General features: G+C 44.9%; 1 protein-coding gene across 45 annotated transcripts in view, besides 2 other annotated features; it reads right to left on the bottom strand.

Moving 5' to 3' along the window:
* Positions 489–17,162, bottom strand: part of INPP4A (inositol polyphosphate-4-phosphatase type I A) — a 149,806-nt gene continuing 133,132 nt past the window's right edge. For 20 of the 45 annotated variants that reach the window (XM_047444199.1, XM_047444209.1, XM_047444204.1 and 17 more), the window contains one exon: positions 489–7,405. In XM_047444199.1, the coding sequence (XP_047300155.1) occupies positions 7,273–7,405 (133 nt within the window). In that variant the 3' untranslated portion in view covers positions 489–7,272. Of the gene's footprint in view, positions 7,406–8,614; positions 17,150–17,162 lie in introns of those variants that run through there. The other 25 variants (XM_024452876.2, NM_001351424.1, XM_006712499.4 and 22 more) reach the window with 5 other exon arrangements.
* Positions 1,972–2,125: a silencer, noted in NCBI's record as "fragment chr2:99209219-99209372 (GRCh37/hg19 assembly coordinates)". NCBI's record gives its function as "represses an EF-1alpha promoter that drives an FKBP-Casp9 reporter gene in an ReSE screen in HepG2 liver carcinoma cells {active_cell/tissue: HepG2}" and the evidence as "EXISTENCE:reporter gene assay evidence [ECO:0000049][PMID:32094911]".
* Positions 10,420–10,921: an enhancer, noted in NCBI's record as "H3K4me1 hESC enhancer chr2:99200423-99200924 (GRCh37/hg19 assembly coordinates)". NCBI's record gives its function as "activates a minimal SCP1, AML or CMV promoter by ChIP-STARR-seq in naive H9 embryonic stem cells {active_cell/tissue: H9 hESC(naive)}" and the evidence as "EXISTENCE:reporter gene assay evidence [ECO:0000049][PMID:30033119]".

Raw genomic sequence — 17,162 nt, 5'->3', positions numbered from 1 at the left:
TCATCACTGGCCATCAGAGGAATGCAAATCAAAACCACGATGAGATACCATCTCACACCAGTTAGTTAGAACGGCAATCATTAAAAAGTCAGGAAACAACAGGTGTGGAGAGGATGTGGAGAAATAGGAACACTTTTACACTGTTGGTGGGACTGTAAACTAGTTCAACCATTGTGGAAGTCAGTGTGGCGATTCCTCAGGGATCTAGAACTGGAAATACCATTTGACCCAGCCATCCCATTACTGGGTATATACCCAAAGGACTATAAATCATGCTGCTATAAAGACACATGCACATGTATGTTTATTGTGGCATTATTCACAATAGCAAAGACTTGGAACCAACCCAAATGTCCAACAATGATAGACTGGATTAAGAAAATGTGGTGCATATACACCATGGAATACTATGCAGCCATAAAAAATGATGAGTTCATGTCCTTTGTAGGGACATGGATGAAATTGGAAATCATCATTCTCAGTAATGGTGGGTTTTAAACATTTAATTTTTACTGTTAAACAACCAGTATACCAAAAAGTGAATAGGATGTTCGTATGTTAAGAACAAAGTAATCTGTCATGTAACTGGCCATCCAGATCAAGATAACATTGCCTGAACCCCCTGTAATTTTAGCCTGACTTTTTTCAGAGACCCTCTCACTCGCCCCTTTACCACACTCTGCCATTTGCCTTCTCCTTTGACCTTTTGAATTTGGCTCGTGATGCATTTAGCGTAACCGATTATGTAGTGAGAAAAACAGCGTGGTCCAGTGCTGAAATAGGAAATATTTCAGTTGAACACCACAAAACCACCATTTGTTCATGTGTTTATTCAACAAACTTTAGCTCCTTCACAGCGGGCATTACACTTGCTCTTGTGAATACAGAGGGGACTGACAGTGGACAGGACATGCATGAAAGAATCTTCATAGTCAACAATGAAGGAGAGGAAGTTTTTTTGAAAGGGCCAACTTCATTTGTGGGGAGAAATCACCATAGAGGAAGGCAGACCTGAGACTAGCCTTGCAGGAGGGGTGAGGATGCTCAGGAGAGGTCCAGATCCGAGGGGACTGATACAGACCAGGCCTTGGGGTGCATGGATGGAAATTATGGGATGGTTCTCAAGAGATACAGGTTCAGTGGCTGATTGATGGGATGTGGAGGAGAAAATGATCCCAAGGTCGTCTATTAGAGGGAGACTCAGCCAGCTTGGAGGAGGAGAGGCATGAGCATGCTGTATTTGAGATGCCTGCAAGACAGGCATGGTGCTTAGATGTATAGGTAATCTGGACCTTGGGGGAGAGTCTGGGATGGACCTAGAAATTTAGGAGTCACTACCATATAAGTGACCATTTGTTCAACAGGAATGTGTAAGATTTTTCAGGAAGATCATCTTAAGTGAGAAAGGGAACCCAGGAGAACACCACGCCATTAGTGGCAGGTGGTGGGCAACATAAAATTTGAGAGTGAGGAGGGATGGTCAGAGACGTAGGACCACCAGGAGAGAGTCAGGCCACAGACACCGAGGGAGGGCTGGGTGGCGAGGAGGAGGAAGCAGTGAAGTGCTGTGTCTGTCTACATCCATCTAACACAGGCATCCTCTTTGGAGCCATGGAGATGCAAGTGTGTTTCCTACCCTGTCTGCTCAGCTTTTTCTGTTATGTGGGACAACAGTGTGAAAGACCTGCCTGGACTGGCCTGCAAGGCCCACAGGGGCCTGATGCAGGAAGAAATCATGGCAAAGACAGGGTTCCAGTGGAGGGAATCTAGAGTATGGGTGTTTTCAGGCTACACCCTGGGAACCCTGTCGTAGCCTGGAGGGCAACAGCTAATAAAAACAAGACCAAGCTACTCTCCGTTTGCCTACTGTTGGCACAGGATGGGGGGTGGAATCGTATGGAGGGTGCAGCCTCAGGCTGGAGAAGCCTCCCTGGGGCCCCTGGCAGGGGAGGGAGTGCCTGTGCAGGCCAGCTCACAGGATCCCACTACACTGCAGAGCACGGTGTAGCCCCCACCAGCTTTTCCCACTCAAAAGTCATCATTTGGCCACCAGACAAATCGTAGACTGATCCTGGGGCCGATGTCCACGGTGCTGGTTGGTACCCACAGTTAGCGTCAGCAGGGCATCAGGAGGTCAGTTGCAGCCAGGGCCACTATTGGGAGCAGACAGCCTGCTAAACACAAGTTTCCATCTGTACAACCCAGCGCTCTCTCTGCCAGAGGCCGCGCTGCTTGGTGTTCACAGGAATGAAAGATCTTTTTGGTCAGCATATACCTCTCAGAAAAGGATGCTATTTTGCTTTTTTTTCTGTCTTCCTGATTTCAAATACTGGATTTTATCCACTGTAAATTTGATTACTTCCTACTTTTGGAAATAACCAGGGTCTCTGAGAAGAGGGCACTTTTAAAAGTGTAAAAACCATCATGGATCCCGATAAGCCAGCTCTGCCCCTCTCTGGAGGCCCTCATGGGCAGCCGGGGGCCAGGTCAGGCAGCCTGAGCTGTTTCCTGCTGCCCACTCCTCTCCAATCTTCCTTGACCCCCTTGGTTCTGTCATCACTGCCACCCCTGCAGGTTCCACAGGGAGCGTGTGCTTCTGGGCTGGGGTTCCTTCTGTGCACAGCAGAGCAGTGCCCTCACTATAACTTACAGAAAATCGGCTCTTAAGAGGGGCTGGTAGAAGAGGACATTTTGGGGAGAAAGTGATAAGAAGAAGAGAGTTTGTCCATCTCCAAATGCAGAGTTCTGTGAGGGCCTGCCTGCCAGGAGGAACTGCTGGTCTTGGAAGAGCCATCCCAGGAACACGATGGCATGTGAGGCCAGTTCCTTCTGTCCATGTGTTCCCAATACCCCTATACACAGAACAGCTCTTCTCCCCCCAGCTTAAGAGAAATGCTGGCAGCCCTTTAGAGTGACCAAAGAGGTCACACTGCCCACTGAGAGACATCTACTGCTCATTACTACAACATTAGGAACACTCAATGCTGCTGAGGATACTGTGAGAAACCTCTATTCAAAAATGGTGCCAACCTGCTGTGTGATGCTGGTAAAGAATAGAGGGAGGTTATGCAGTAGAACAATGTACAATGAAGTAACCTCCCCACATGGCTAATCATTTCTGTTCTTGGAAAAATCACAAATCGGGAAGCTCCAACCTCCAGCTCCTCTTACCTTCCTCCAGCGCAAAGCCTCCCTGGGACAACTCCCCTAGATCTGGGCAGCCAGATTGTGCCAAGTCATCTACTAAGCAGAGACTCAACAGGAAACTGAAGCGCAGCACCAGAATGGCATGCGGAGGGAGGGCAGGAAGAAGCTCACGGTAGCTGATGTCTGGGCGTCCTGACATGTCTTCTTCTTGGCTTAACTTTAAAGAGAAGCAAAATTAGGCCTGACCTTGAGGGATTCCCTCTGACTTTACATACTGTAAGCACAACACAGGACTTACACCAAGATGATTCCAGATGGATTGATCTAAATGTAGGACTGAAACCATAAACATCCTAGAAATAAGAACAGGTAAATGCTGAAAAAATAATCCTGAGACATGAGAGTGAAGGTAGAAACTGTTAATAATATTAAACTGAGCATGGCCCATGCACCAAGCAAGGTGCCAGTGAGCACTTTAGTCCAGCCCCTCGTCGTGGGCACGCAGCCACACCACCATGCCCACAAGGACATGGCTGTCCCATATGTCCCACCTTCCATGGTGAAGCCAGGACTCCATTTCAGAACAAGCATCAAAATGAAAGACAGGTATATGTGACTACATAAACCATTTAAAATACTGTATAACTCCTACCACAGACCAAAAGACAGCTGACAAATAGGTTAAAAAGTGTGCAACATATGACAGGGGCTAATACATTGTATATTAAAAACAATCTATATGAAATAGATCAACATTCCAATGAAGTCACAAACATAGAAATATCATAAAGGTATAAAAGATGTTCAGTGTTCACAGTAATCAAGGAATCAGGACACTGAAACGAGGTGCACTGCTACCATCAATGAGAATAAAGGGAAAAGGCACATGTTATTTTTGGTGGTAGCTTAAATTTCTAGGAGTTTGGTAATACTAAAAACTCCAAGAGTTAAACATTTCAATCATCCTTTAATTGTACATTTCCAGTGAGAGGAATTTTTCCAAGGGAGATAACGGGTCGTGTGTGCCTAGAAGACGGCACAGTGGTGCAAGATGCAGTCCTGGTGACGATGAACAGGGTCAATATTAATACAAGTGGAACTGCATTTTGACAAGTCATACAACGAGGACTGGGTTACCCACAGAGATGATGTGATCCATGTTCACAGACGGGAAGGTAACAACAATGGCTACCATTTATGAACACGTACTTCTGAGGCGCGTCGCACGTTCCTTATGAGGAAGGTACTGTTGTTGTCCACACTTTGCACATGAGGAAACGGAGGCTTGGAGAGGTCAAGCAACTTGCTCAGAGTCACCAGCCAGTCAGGGGCAGAACCAGGATTGGGACCTGGTCTGTGTGCTCCCAAAGTCCGTGCTCTTAACCTCAACGCTGTTGCCCCTCTGCTTCAAATTAGGCAGAAACAAGCTTATAAAATGGAAGTCTCCCATGGTCCCATGTTTACAAACATGTATTCAGCACCCGAGCACTCAATGCAATGCCCAAGAACAATGGTCCAGTCACAGGCTGGTCACATAGAACTAGTCCTCCTAATAGGATGAATCAGGCAAGACCACATTTAATATCTTGTCAGTTATTTATTATGTGTCATTCTAAAGACTAGCACATTTACAGCATACATGGCTTTGAATGACCTAAGAATATATAAAACAGTAACTGTATGTTTATATATATATAGTAATACTGCCCAAAACAAATAAATAAAGGTATCATAATGCACTAAGCTTGGCAAATACAATTGTGTAGGGACAAAACTGTATTATACAATATTTTTACATCTTTAAAGGAAACTAAAGGCAACTGTGCTCTGTAGGAGCTCTGACAGAATCCACATTACATTCCCAGTTTTCCATAGATCTCTTTTCTTTTTAAATGGGGAGGCATCATAAGGAACACTGGACGGAACCTCTGTTTTACGGTAACCTGTAAAACTGCCTTCCCTGCACCTCTGAAAACCCAAAGCTCCTACAGAAGAGAGGAGCTGCTTGCCTCTGTGCCACACACCCTCACCCTGCAGGCACTGGAAGCGTGTGATGCTGCCGGAAGCCCAGGAATGATGCCTTCAGAGAGAATACTGAAACCTGAACCTTTTCTATAGCATTTGCCAAGTCTTACAGTTTTATGGTGACCCATTACATAGAGCAAAAATTGGGAAAATAATTCATATAAAGGTGTCACATGCAAAACTGCTGACAGATGATCAACATTTGCTATATTCCCTTTGATGAGTGCAGATATTTAATGCTCTCCAGACAAAAAAGATCTGAAAACTATGTGGGTAATATTTATTTTTAAAAAGCAAGGAGATTTTTTAAAAGTTAAAATGAGAAAAGACAGAACTAAAAATTTACAAATTAAATGAGATGGTGGAGAGGTGAAAGGGTAAATCAGCCATATTGAAAACAAACTGTCTGTGAACAGAAATTGACACTTAAAAAGGAGAATCTGATACCAGCAGCAGCCACCTGTGCAGTGGGTTTGGCGGGCAGGAGCTTCTCTGCTTCCTGCCTGCCACAGTGAACTCAGCTTTGAGGGAGCAGCAGAGAGCTTCGTCCTTCATTAAAGTGTCCTTCACAGACATTTTCCTCCCTGCAGGCATCGGGAGACAGCAGGCGCTGCTTGCATGCTGACTTCTGAGTAGGAGGGGGTCTGGAAGGTCATCCAGTTCCACCCTACCTGATGCCCACCCCCTCTGTGTTCCTGCCAATAAGCAGTCCTCCCCATGCCTCAGCACCCCTGGCCCAAGTTTGTTACATGTTTCTAAAGGAACCAGAAGAATCTCTAGGCTTTTAGACAAAAGAATTTCTAAGAGGTTCACAAATCATTAGGATCAGCATCATTAATATGTGCCATATGTATTTCTTTTACAACCTTTTCAAGAACATGTAAACATCGTAAACAGAATCAATAAAACATATAAACTCCTAAGAAACAAACTCTGCTATGTGCAGATAAGACTCATCATCATCTTATAAAAGATGACCAGACAAAATTTTCTATGAAATTCCTAAGTTTTATGGCCCATAAATCCCTTTCAAAATCTCATTTGAGGAGAATAAATTTCAACTGTTTCTCAATAGTCATCTTACATAAGAATGAGAATAAGAAAGTAACAATTATTGCAAACCTAAAAATAAGACACTTTCATCAGACATTCAAACATGATTGTACTGTCTTTTCAAAGATAAATTGGAAATCCTGCAAAAAAAATTTTTTTTCTGAAAATATTTAGGTTTCTACTATCTCTATGGTCATAAATTCCCCATGGGAGTGTTGACATGCCACATCTGAGGCCCTACATTAACATCTAGAGAAGAAGGGGAGATGTGTCCTCTGGGCGTGAGGGAGCCTCGGCAGGGAGCTTCAGAGAACAGGAGACAGGCTAAAGGGACCTTACTGCTGGCTTTGTGTCTCCAGCAGACTCCCTGTTCTGTAACTCATAAGGGACAGAAAAAAGAGTGGCCCCAACTATGTGGGGTACCTTGCAGGTGTTACCTTCTAATAAAGTCTTATCTCCCGTTGATTTATCAATCTTTCTTTCAACTTCTTCAGGTGGTAGTGTAGATAGGATAATTCACTAGAACCCGTTATTCTCACTGCATGAGATAGTGCTAGCTTCTTTCCCCAAATAACATTTATTGGTATGCCTAGGATCCAATTATTTAATTTATTATTTACTGTTTTACATTCAGATTTTTACAAAGTGGATTGTAATTCAATGGTTACTTTTGAGTTACTCTGTAGAAAAGTAAGTGAGCAAGCAGGCATTTGAAAAAGTCTTCTAGCATTTCAGACAAACCTAGCTTGATTCATGTAGGTAACTATTGATGAGATCTGTGTAGTTACAGCCAAAGGCTATTTAATTTAAATAGGCAGTTGTTACTATCCACACTATTGAGCCAAACATTACCTCCTATTGATTCCAATGGGGAAAAAAACCCAAAAAACAAAAAACATGCTCCAGAGACTCTTTAGTGAAATGTTTTTTTTAAAAAAACCACAAAAAATAAAAACCAATCCTTCAGGTCTTCTTGAAGAATTCATATATGACACTAGAGGGTACCCACATTTATTATGTAACAGCTAATTAGAGGAAACCGTGTGTTCACGTTTCAACTTTTCCGTAAGTCCCTTCGGGAGGCCTGTAATGCTTGGGGAAAGCCTTCAGCTGCAGGGAATTAAATGCATATTTGCGACTTCCAACATTCTTCATTGTATTTTCTCTTCGACAACCCTCACTGGGGAAAAAACAAGCACAAGAAATGACGGCAGTAAAAAAGGAAAAAAGAAAAGACTTAAACTAAGATGAAATGAACTGATCATTTTCATAACATTAAAAAAAAGATTAATTTAAATGGGTGCCGGACTCATTTACAACAAATACATATGTAAGATGGCAGGTTTCTGAACAAGGCAATTAAGAAGCACAGAGATGGACACATGCTGCGTGGGGCTGTGAGTTGTGCGTTCCTAAAAGCAGCACTGTATCTAAGTGGAAGCAAACTTTTTCCAAGTGAATGGTTTCATGTAGCTCATGTCTTTTGGGGTTCTATCATAACTTGTGGTTCAAAGATTCCCTCACATAGCAAATGAAGTGGAAAAAGAAATATTACTACTCTTACTAAAGTTGCACTTCAGAGCTTTAAAGAGCCGGACTTTTCTGTATTAGCAAGAGCTGTAATCACATCAAATTCAAAATGCTGACTTTCCTTGCAGAATTCAACATGTAGCAAAGCCAGCTGGCTAGGAAGGCGTTCTGGTCTGCTGTCTCCTGGAGGACAGTTGTTCTGGGTGCCAGGTAATCCAATGGGTTCATGCACTGTCTGCAGAGCAGCCTGGCAATCAGGGCTGGAATGTTATGAGGGAGGGATCTCACCAAGTTCTGGTAGCAGCCAGCCACCCTTCCACAGGTGGGCTGCCCCCATGTGTTCCCTCTTGCACAGGTGCCACTGAGCCAGTGAGAGCCCACAGGTGCCCTTCCCTAGAGAACTCACTACCAGCGTCATCCTCAGCTGCATCTGATGGAGGGTTGCCATGGCAATCCAGGGGGCAAAAGCAAACACTGCATGGGAGGATGAGCAGCCAGGGGGCCTCACCTACTCAGTGAGCGCGTCCGGGGAGTTCTCTGGGAAATGTTCAGGTGTAGACATAAAACTAACCAGCAAAAGTGATTTTAAACATAAATGACTTCCCACAGCACAGTATAACTTGATGGTTTTATGCTGTTCTAAGACTAGCAGTGAAATCAACTAGTTATCAAATTTAGTACAAAATTCCCCTTATGAGATGTAAAATTTGCAGTTACCAAGAAACAGTGATTTTTTAAAAAATTCAAATTGTATGAAGACCATTATGTCACGCATTTAAAAAAAAAAAACATCAGTGGCAATTGCTCAAGCCTTTTAAAGTGAAAATGACAGTCTCATTATCAAGAACATGTAAAATACTTTTGGTAAGACAGTATTTTTTATTCAAAAGCTAAGCTCCGATAGTTTAGAAAAGTATCCACCTGGTTGTTGTAACTAATTTGGTAACTTGGATATGCTTTCTTGTCACGGAGCCTCAAGGCCTCAGCTAGATGTGTGTCATCTGAGCTGAACACCTAGGCCACAGGAGGCCCCCTGGAGTAAGTAACAATCGTGTTTGCCTAACATTCATTCAGTAATCAAAAACGTACTTCCACTTAAAGCAGAAGCTATAGGTTCCTATACACAGTTAATCTCCTTTAATCTTTGGAAACTCTTACATTAATGAACTACTTCAGATATGGCTTCTCCATTTATATAGAAATGTACAAACTGCTTAAAAACCACCTGTCACTAATAAATGCTAAACTGCCGTGAGGAGCGAGGCAGAATAATTTGTGAACTTTGACATTATCTTTTATTTACATGTTAAAGGAGTTAATGCCTAGTTTAGCTGGCTGAACACATCAGATGTGAAATTCTAATAAAGATTATACTTTCATTTCAACGTAGTTTTCAAATCAAATTGTATTTACTTTCCCCCAGATGTTTGAATTTGCAATATCCGGCTGATGTGGCTGATCCACATGCCGACACTGTTATCCCACCACCTGCCTGTGCGGACGAGCTGGCAAGAGGGCCCGGGGCGAGGCATGCAGAGGTGGCGAGGACAGCCTGTGCTAACTGGGGTTTCCTGCTGCAGAGGCCAAGCTGCTGCCCTAAGGCAGGACACCTCCACTGATCACGTCGGCTGCATACTTTTTAGGAACCAATGGTACATGTTGAGGTGGTCTTAGATTTTAGCAAGAGGGACTTAATTATTTCAAAGCTCCATGATTACTTTTATTATATCAATAAATTATTTCTTTTCAAGGGCATCCATTTTTGAAATGAAAATTAAAATGGAAACCCCAAGTGACAGATAATTTTAGGGAATCCTCTAGTTTTCCGGTTCCAGTGGGGTCTTCCACTTGAGAACTCATCTGCAGGCATCAGTATCTTAGTGATTCTATGGCTGAGCATGGGGTGGCTGCTACTCCTGTCACTTTGTGGAGGGAAAACAGGTCATTGTGTTAAAATCTCTGCTGGAATCAAGCCATAGGCGTAAATAGTGACTGTCACACTAGTTGAAAAAACTTATACAACAATTTTATAAGACCATCCAAAGAGAACCACTCCTGATTGTGGTTTCCCTAACTTCAGAAAGCTGATTTAATCTGAACACCTAGAGCTGGCTGACATCAACAATGCCTCAGCACTACTACAGTATAAGCAACTAAAAACCATCACTAAATGTCAATGACCCCTTTCTTGAATCATCTCCCATCTTTGTTTCATCCTGCCTATTTCTCACTAAAGCAAGTAAGATTTTGCATACGTATTTGGCCTGATTTCATGAGTAAAAGGCCTTAGTGACATTAAAATTCAGCATAAAGGGAGAGCAACTGAGTTTCTTTTCTCAAATACTTTAAGTTTAAAAAGCCAAAACCAACCCACCACCTAGGCTAATCTCATGGTGTCCTTTTGCTAGCTCTCCAAGTGCACAGGCGGCATACTGATTTTCACCCAGACCCTGGAGGAGAGAAACAAAGAACCTTATCTCGCTCCCTTTGGTCTCATTTCTCTCAGCCCACGGGCCAAGCCCACATGGGCAGAAAGGTGTGGTGACAATCAAGGATCAGGCCGTGGTGTCCTTGAGGCCCCCTGGGAGGGGCTCCTCGGCCTGGCCGCAGCTTCTCTGTGCTATGGGGCAGGGTCCTGGGAGGCGTCCCTGGAGGGTGCCACAGAAGCATCCTTGAGCCCTGGGAGAGGGAGGGGTGCTGTCTGCAGTCAGAGGGCCTTCCTCTGTGCATGGGCTCTGCCTAGCCACTAGCCCTGCTGTGGAAGTGGGAGTGCACGTAAGTCACCACTACAGGCATTGGAACCACGTTACCAGGAGCAGGACCAGGAAGCTGTGTAATGGGAACTGAATGAGGCTGTGGACTCTGCTCTCTTGCTTTCAAATAAAGCAAACAAGATGGTCTTAGTTGAAGTGCACGCCTCAATGTGAAAGAGGGAAAGTGGCAAACATGGCAAACATGCCTTTCAAATAATCACAGGCTGGACAGGACACTGCCCAGGGACTATTGTCATGCTGCCACAGCTTACACCACCCATGAGCTGGCGTTTGGTGACTTCAGACTCCCTACTGAAGGCCACCAGGAGCTATGCCACAACAGCCACCTCATTTATTTTAGAAGAGACAAGTGAACACACTGCACTTGGAGAAGCGTGGATTCACTTACAGGGGTGACACACAGGTGATGCCTGCCCCAGGGAGCCTGCAGTGCTCATGATGGTCTTACATTTTAGGATGTAAAGTGTTGAGTCTAGCATTTGCCATTCATTGCTAACTGCTTCTGTGATTCCTAGGACCCAGACTCTGAGCTGATACTGAATGAGAAAAAGCCCGGGGTAAGGTCTGGGAGTCCTGGAGAGATAATGAAGAGAGGTCGCTCGCTGCCTTTTGTGGTCGACTGGGTTTCTGGGCATGCATGGGTGTCAAGTTTCTGGAAAAGCAAGCTTCTCTAAATTCATTCCCATTTTTCTGGCCTGGTTAAAAAAAATCGTCTTCATAAACTACAGTGTATGGGGAACCAGCTGGAGATAGAAAGTGGAGGCACAACATAATATGAACTGGAAAACAGAGAAGCTGCTGACCGTCCTGCACAGGGTGTGGGGAGTTTTTCCTGATCTATTTGGTTACTTTTACAGGTGGACAATTACCCTCTGCCCTACATGGGTGTTAAGGTTACACTTCATCGCGCTGCAGGGAATGCCACGTGAGGACTGAGGGGGCACCAGCAGAAACCAGAGCGCCCTGCTGCTCTCTCAGCTCCATCCACCGCAACTGCCCACAAGTCAGGGATCACTTTTTTTTTTGGCATTTTTTCTTTGATTTTTTTTCATTATCAATCATATTTGATTAGTAAGAGAGAAAAGATGTTGGAACTTTAATCTGCAATTAAAGATACCATTTTTTAAATGAAAAATACTGTTTTAAAATAAATAAAAGTATATAACTTTAACAGCCTTTGGTGACTATATGCATTAATTCCTTGAACCAGCTGAATGATCCTTACATAGTGAAGAGTAAATCTAAAGTCACATGCAGTAGGTGATCTTTCTGTGTCTGGCGTATGCAGTAGGTGATCTTTCTGTGTCTGGCATATGCAGTAGGTGATCTTTCTGTGTCTGGCGTATGCAGTAGGTGATCTGTGTCTGGTGTGTGCAGCAGGTGATCTTTCTGTGTCTGGCGTATGCAGGAGGTTATCTTTCTGTTTGACTTATGCAGTAGGTGATCTTTCTGTGTCTGGTGTATGCAGTAGGCGATCTTTCTGTTTGACTTATGCAGTAGGTGATCTTTCTGTGTCTGACTTATGCACTAGGTGATCTTTCTGTCTGACTTATGCGGTAGGTTATCTTTCTGTCTGGTGTATGCAGTAGATGATCTGTGTCTGGCGTATGCAGTAGGTTATCTTTCTGTCTGGTGTATGCAGTAGGTGATCTTTCTGTGTCTGGCGTATGCAGCAGGTGATCTTTCTGTGTCTGGCGTATGCAGCAGGTGATCTTTCTGTGTCTGGCGTATGCAGTAGGTGATCTTTCTTTGGCGTATGCAGTAGGTGATCTTTCTGTGTCTGGCGTATGGAGTAGGTGATCTTTCTGTGTCTGGCGTATGCAGTAGGTGATCTTTCTGTGGCTGGCATATGCAGTAGGTGATCTTTCTGTGTCTGGCGTATGCAGTAGGTGATCTTTCTGTGTCTGGCGTATGCAGTAGGTGATCTTTCTGTGTCTGACTGTGTCTGGCTCTTGCTACAGTGTACTACTGTATTCACAGCTTTGTGTCATCCTTAATTGGAAATAATAAACATAAGCAAGGAAATGGTAGGATTCTGCAAACTGTTTGCTACTGTAATTCAGGGACTACGCTTTGAAATGAAAGCAGAAAGTACATGTCCTATTAGATAGGTTTTTCTAGATAAGCCAGTTATAAAGCATGTTTTTTTCTTTTCGTTTGTCATCAAAAGGAAAGGAAGGGTTAGCAGTACACTTAAAGAATAGTATCAAATATACAAATTCTCTTTAAACAGAACTCGTTTCTCTTGGAAACAGGGCACATGAGAGGTACAGGTGATAAATAGTTGTACATCAGAAGGTAGAGACGTGGTACAAGGAATTCCAGGCCAGCTAAACGATGCAGTGACAGGGCACCGTAAGAACATGTTACAAGCACTGAAGATGCTACAGGAGCTAAACAAACAAGTCTTCTTGGTGAAATAATTTGGCAGATATTTACAGTTCAGAAGAACAAAACGTCAAAATGTAAGGCATGAAATATTTCTTGGCAGACCACGGTTTGACACATTCCTTCTGTCCAGTTAGGTACACGGTGGCTGGACATGTTCTGGCACTTTTGTTTTTCTTGTGACTTATTAATTTTTCATAATGATATTCATTTGCAACGCAATTTGGTCACCAGGTATGCTATGCTCAGAAAGAGCCACACAATCAGTAAATTGGGGCTCAGAGCTAATAAAGGGATGGAACAGAGGAGGCTGGGGTCTAGCCTTAAGTCTCGGATGGGCACCAGGCCGCTCAAGTTCTTCTGGGTGACTACCTCCCGTGTTCCAATGCTGTGAAAAGGAAAAAGTTTGGGAGAAAGAAAAAGGAAAAAGGAAAGGAAAGAAAATAAAGAAAAAAAGAAGACACATGCGATGGATTTTATCAAAAAGGATGGGATAAACAAGAGAAACAAAAGATAAGGTTAAAAAAAAATGAAATGAAGTCACAATAGAAAGAAAAGATGAAATGCAGAAACGGGTATGAGAGGAAGACCAAAACAAAACCAGCACAGTTACAGGAAAAAAGGAGAGAAAGAGAAGTGAAAATAAGAAAAAATACTGCAATCTACTGAAAATAAACACATGTAGGTTGAACGAATGGTTTTCCATGTTCACTCTCTCGGCTGGCCAAGCACAACTCCATGCTGCCCGGCCATGCCCCCACATGCTGCACAGACAGGGATTTCTGAGAAGCAAGCGGAACATGAAGAACCATTGGGGATTTGACCTTCTCACAGATGCCTGAGCAGGGGGTGGTACAAAGGATTTGGCCAAAGCTGCCTCTTGATCAACCACGCAAACAAAAACCATTTACCTCAGGTACCAACCAACCAAGCGCAGAGCCCCCACCAGCCCCGCCTCGGGTTCCAGGCTCAGCAGTGGCAGGCATGAGCGACTGCTGTTTCCATCTTTGCAAGTTAGGGTTCTGAAAGCATCCCCAAGGGTGGAATCCAAACAATACCACACTAGAAATTTGGGGCTTCTTCCCCCTTTTGGTGCTACAGAAGAACTGCACTGAGGTGAGATGGTACCTAGAACCACATGACTCTGGAAGCACATTTATGTCTGCCAAGTGGCAGCAGTGACACAGAATCAGAGGCCTGAGGACACAGCAGGCAGCCTGTGAAGGCTCCACTTGGAGATGGGGAGGCAGGAGGCCCAGGGTTCCTCTTCACACAGAGCCCTCCCCAGCTCTCCCAGAGGAGCCCCGAAGCCCCCATGGCCCTGCTGGAATGTGCCATTCTGAGAGGGCACAATTCCCAAGCTGCGGAGCACCGACCCACTGCCACATTCCCTGCCAGGAGAGGCTGGCAGGGCCCTGTGGCTACTCAGGAAGGCCTACTTCGAGGGGTTCAGCCCCAGGACTGGGGACAGGAACACCCCAGTGGCCAAATGTGTGAATCTCTTCCCAACTCCATGTTCAATGGTGCCACATGGGAGCTTGAAATGGGCCCTGGTAGAAGCGTTTATGCCACAGAAATGGCAAACATTACAGATCAGGGCTTTTGGGGAGAGAGCTGGTGGCTGAACATTTACAGCACAGCACTGGCCATGGTTCACCCTGGGCCTCCAGGAGAAAAGCCTGGGTGCCAGCTTGGCCCCCACCCCCTCCACCCCCACCTGCATGCTCTACTCTTCCGTCTGATAAGATGCAAGCCAGAAAGCCAGGAACCAAAATGTCCTCCTGCACCCACGGGCAGGGTGGAAGTTTATGCTGCCTTCTGGGGCCCTCAGCTAAACTGCAGGTACTCGGCACCCCAGCAGCCAGAGCTGCTAGCTTGTGACCCAGCCACCTCGGCTTGCAGCCGCCTGAACAGGTACATGTCTTCCCCTCATGGGATCGTATCGAAAACAGAAGTCACCTTAAAACAAATGCCTGTGACAAGAGCCTCAGACCTGCAAGGGTTGGCTCAAGGTGGCAGTGAGCCATGTCCCCAGAGCTGGTGCGAGAATTCTGGGGCAGGCACAGGTAAAGTAGGATTGAGCTTTGTTTTGTTTTTATAACTTCTTTAAAAACTATTAAAGTGATACATGTTCACTGTAGAGATTTCAGAAAACAAAGAAATAAGCAAGTAAAAAAGGCATCCATGATTGGAGGCAGGGGTGGGGTTTAGAAAGGAAGAGGGCAGGGTGGAGGGAATGCTGCCTGTTCCCACAGGAGGAAGGGCCTTCCCTTTGCCAGGCCCCAGGGCCCTTACTGCTAATGCAGAGAAACAACAGCCCTTACAGCTTCAGAAGCCTCACAAGAGTGACAGGAAAGACAGCGCCCGGCATGGGCAGTGCCTCGTGCACTCTGGGACACTGGGCAGGAGAGTGGCTACTGTGGGGACCATTTGGTGATCTGTACTAAAATTATTCAAAAGCCTTACAAAGGTGTATACTTTTTAACCTAAGGCAATGTGGCTAGGGGAATGTATAAGGATATTCACTGCACCTTTGATTAAAATGCTGGAAAACCATATACAGCTTAAATATTCAATGACAGCAAATTGGATAAATTATAGTGTGTAAAATGCGGCTGGGCATGGTGGCTCACGTCTGTAATCCCAGCACTATGGGAGGCCAAGGTGGGCGGATCACCTGAGGTCAGGAGTTTGAGAACATCCCGGCCAACATGGCCAAACCCCGTTTCTACTAAAAATACAAAAAATTAGCCAGGTGTGGTGGTGGGCATCTGTAATCCCAGCTACTCAGGAGGCAAGGGCAGAATTGCTTAAACTCTGGAGGTGGAGGATGCAGTGAGCCAAGACTGCACCATTGCACTCCAGCCTGGGTGACAGAGCAAGATTCCATCTCAAAAAAAAAAAAAGAAAAAAAAAGTGATAAGGTCTACATTTATTAACCTAAAAAATGCTCACAAGACTGTTATTTGCAAATATAATTACACTTGTTTGTGCATGTGGGTGTTTTTGTTCTGTGTAATTCAGGGACTGGTTGGCCCATGTGTACATACTCACGCCCATAGGCATGTACGCATGTCTCTTATCTAGACAGTATGTATCCAAATGTCCGCAGCGCTACCTGTTCACATTAGGAAACTGGGGGATTCTTTGTGGGAGGGTTCTGAGGAACTAGTGTAGGGGCTTATCTGTATTTCCTAATTTTCCTACAAGGATTTTCAATTCCTTATGTGAGTAAAAGTTATAAAAAGTGCTTTGTGCACTATACATCCTAACAGCTGTAACTGTAACGGCTGTCCTGAGCACACAACCCAAGTGTGCTAGGGGCAGGCGGATGGGGCCCTTGCGGGTCTGGGCTCAGTGACAGGCCTGCCATCGCACTGTGGCTCTCCAGGGGGCCACTTTGTCACTGGTCTCCTGAGGTCTTTGTGTTCAGAGGTGGTCAGAATGAATTGTTTCCGTTGAACTTGTTCGAGAGCCCGAGAACTGAGTAGAGGTTTCCGCATGGACTGTGTGCCTAACTTGGGGTGCCAGCTCCTGACTGGCCCTGATCCTGCTCCTTGCTGCCACTACCACAGGGATCCCTGTCCACTTTGTTCTCCTTTCTTCACTGGCTGAGGTCTGCAGCTCACCAGAATGTCCCCTCCCACCACCGTGCAGCTAATGGGCACAGGCGTGGCTGCCGTCCCTCAGCACCAGGGTCACACTGGACATCAGGCCTGAATGGCACCAAGGCTCCTGGGGAGCAGACCAGGGAATTAAAATTTTAAAAAGGCGCCCCAGAGCACCGGTCTTTGAGTCTCCATTGCTTCCCTGAGCCTGGGCAGAGGGATGGCGAGCTTTAACAGAGAGGTTGAGATGAACTTGGAAAGACAAAACGGGACAAAACGATTCCATTTTTACAAAATGCACTTATCAAGAGGCAGGAGCTCACGCGTCGCTTTTGTGCAGTATTGTGAGAAGGTCAAACGGCAGAAACATACAGAAAGGATAAGAGAATTGAACACTTTAAATAATTTGGTGAGAGGACAAATGATACAGAACATTTAGTAGAAGTGACTGTTGGAAACGAGACTTTAACAGCATTGGTGACTACATCGAAGGAGACGGGAAACCAGGTTTCTTATCCTTTCTTTTGGTATGTGAGGTAGGGGGCTGCCCAGCAGTGCTTGAAACAAGGCATCGATCAACAGTAGACACTTTTAGTTCCGGGTTTCATTCTGCAAACACGCCTGCTGCCTCAGAATC

The sequence above is a fragment of the Homo sapiens genome, chromosome 2 (assembly GCF_000001405.40).
Source record: "Homo sapiens chromosome 2, GRCh38.p14 Primary Assembly".
Classification (NCBI taxonomy): domain Eukaryota; kingdom Metazoa; phylum Chordata; class Mammalia; order Primates; family Hominidae; genus Homo; species Homo sapiens.
The sequence above is the reverse complement of the archived record's forward strand: the minus strand, read 5'-3'. Positions and strand labels throughout refer to the sequence as shown.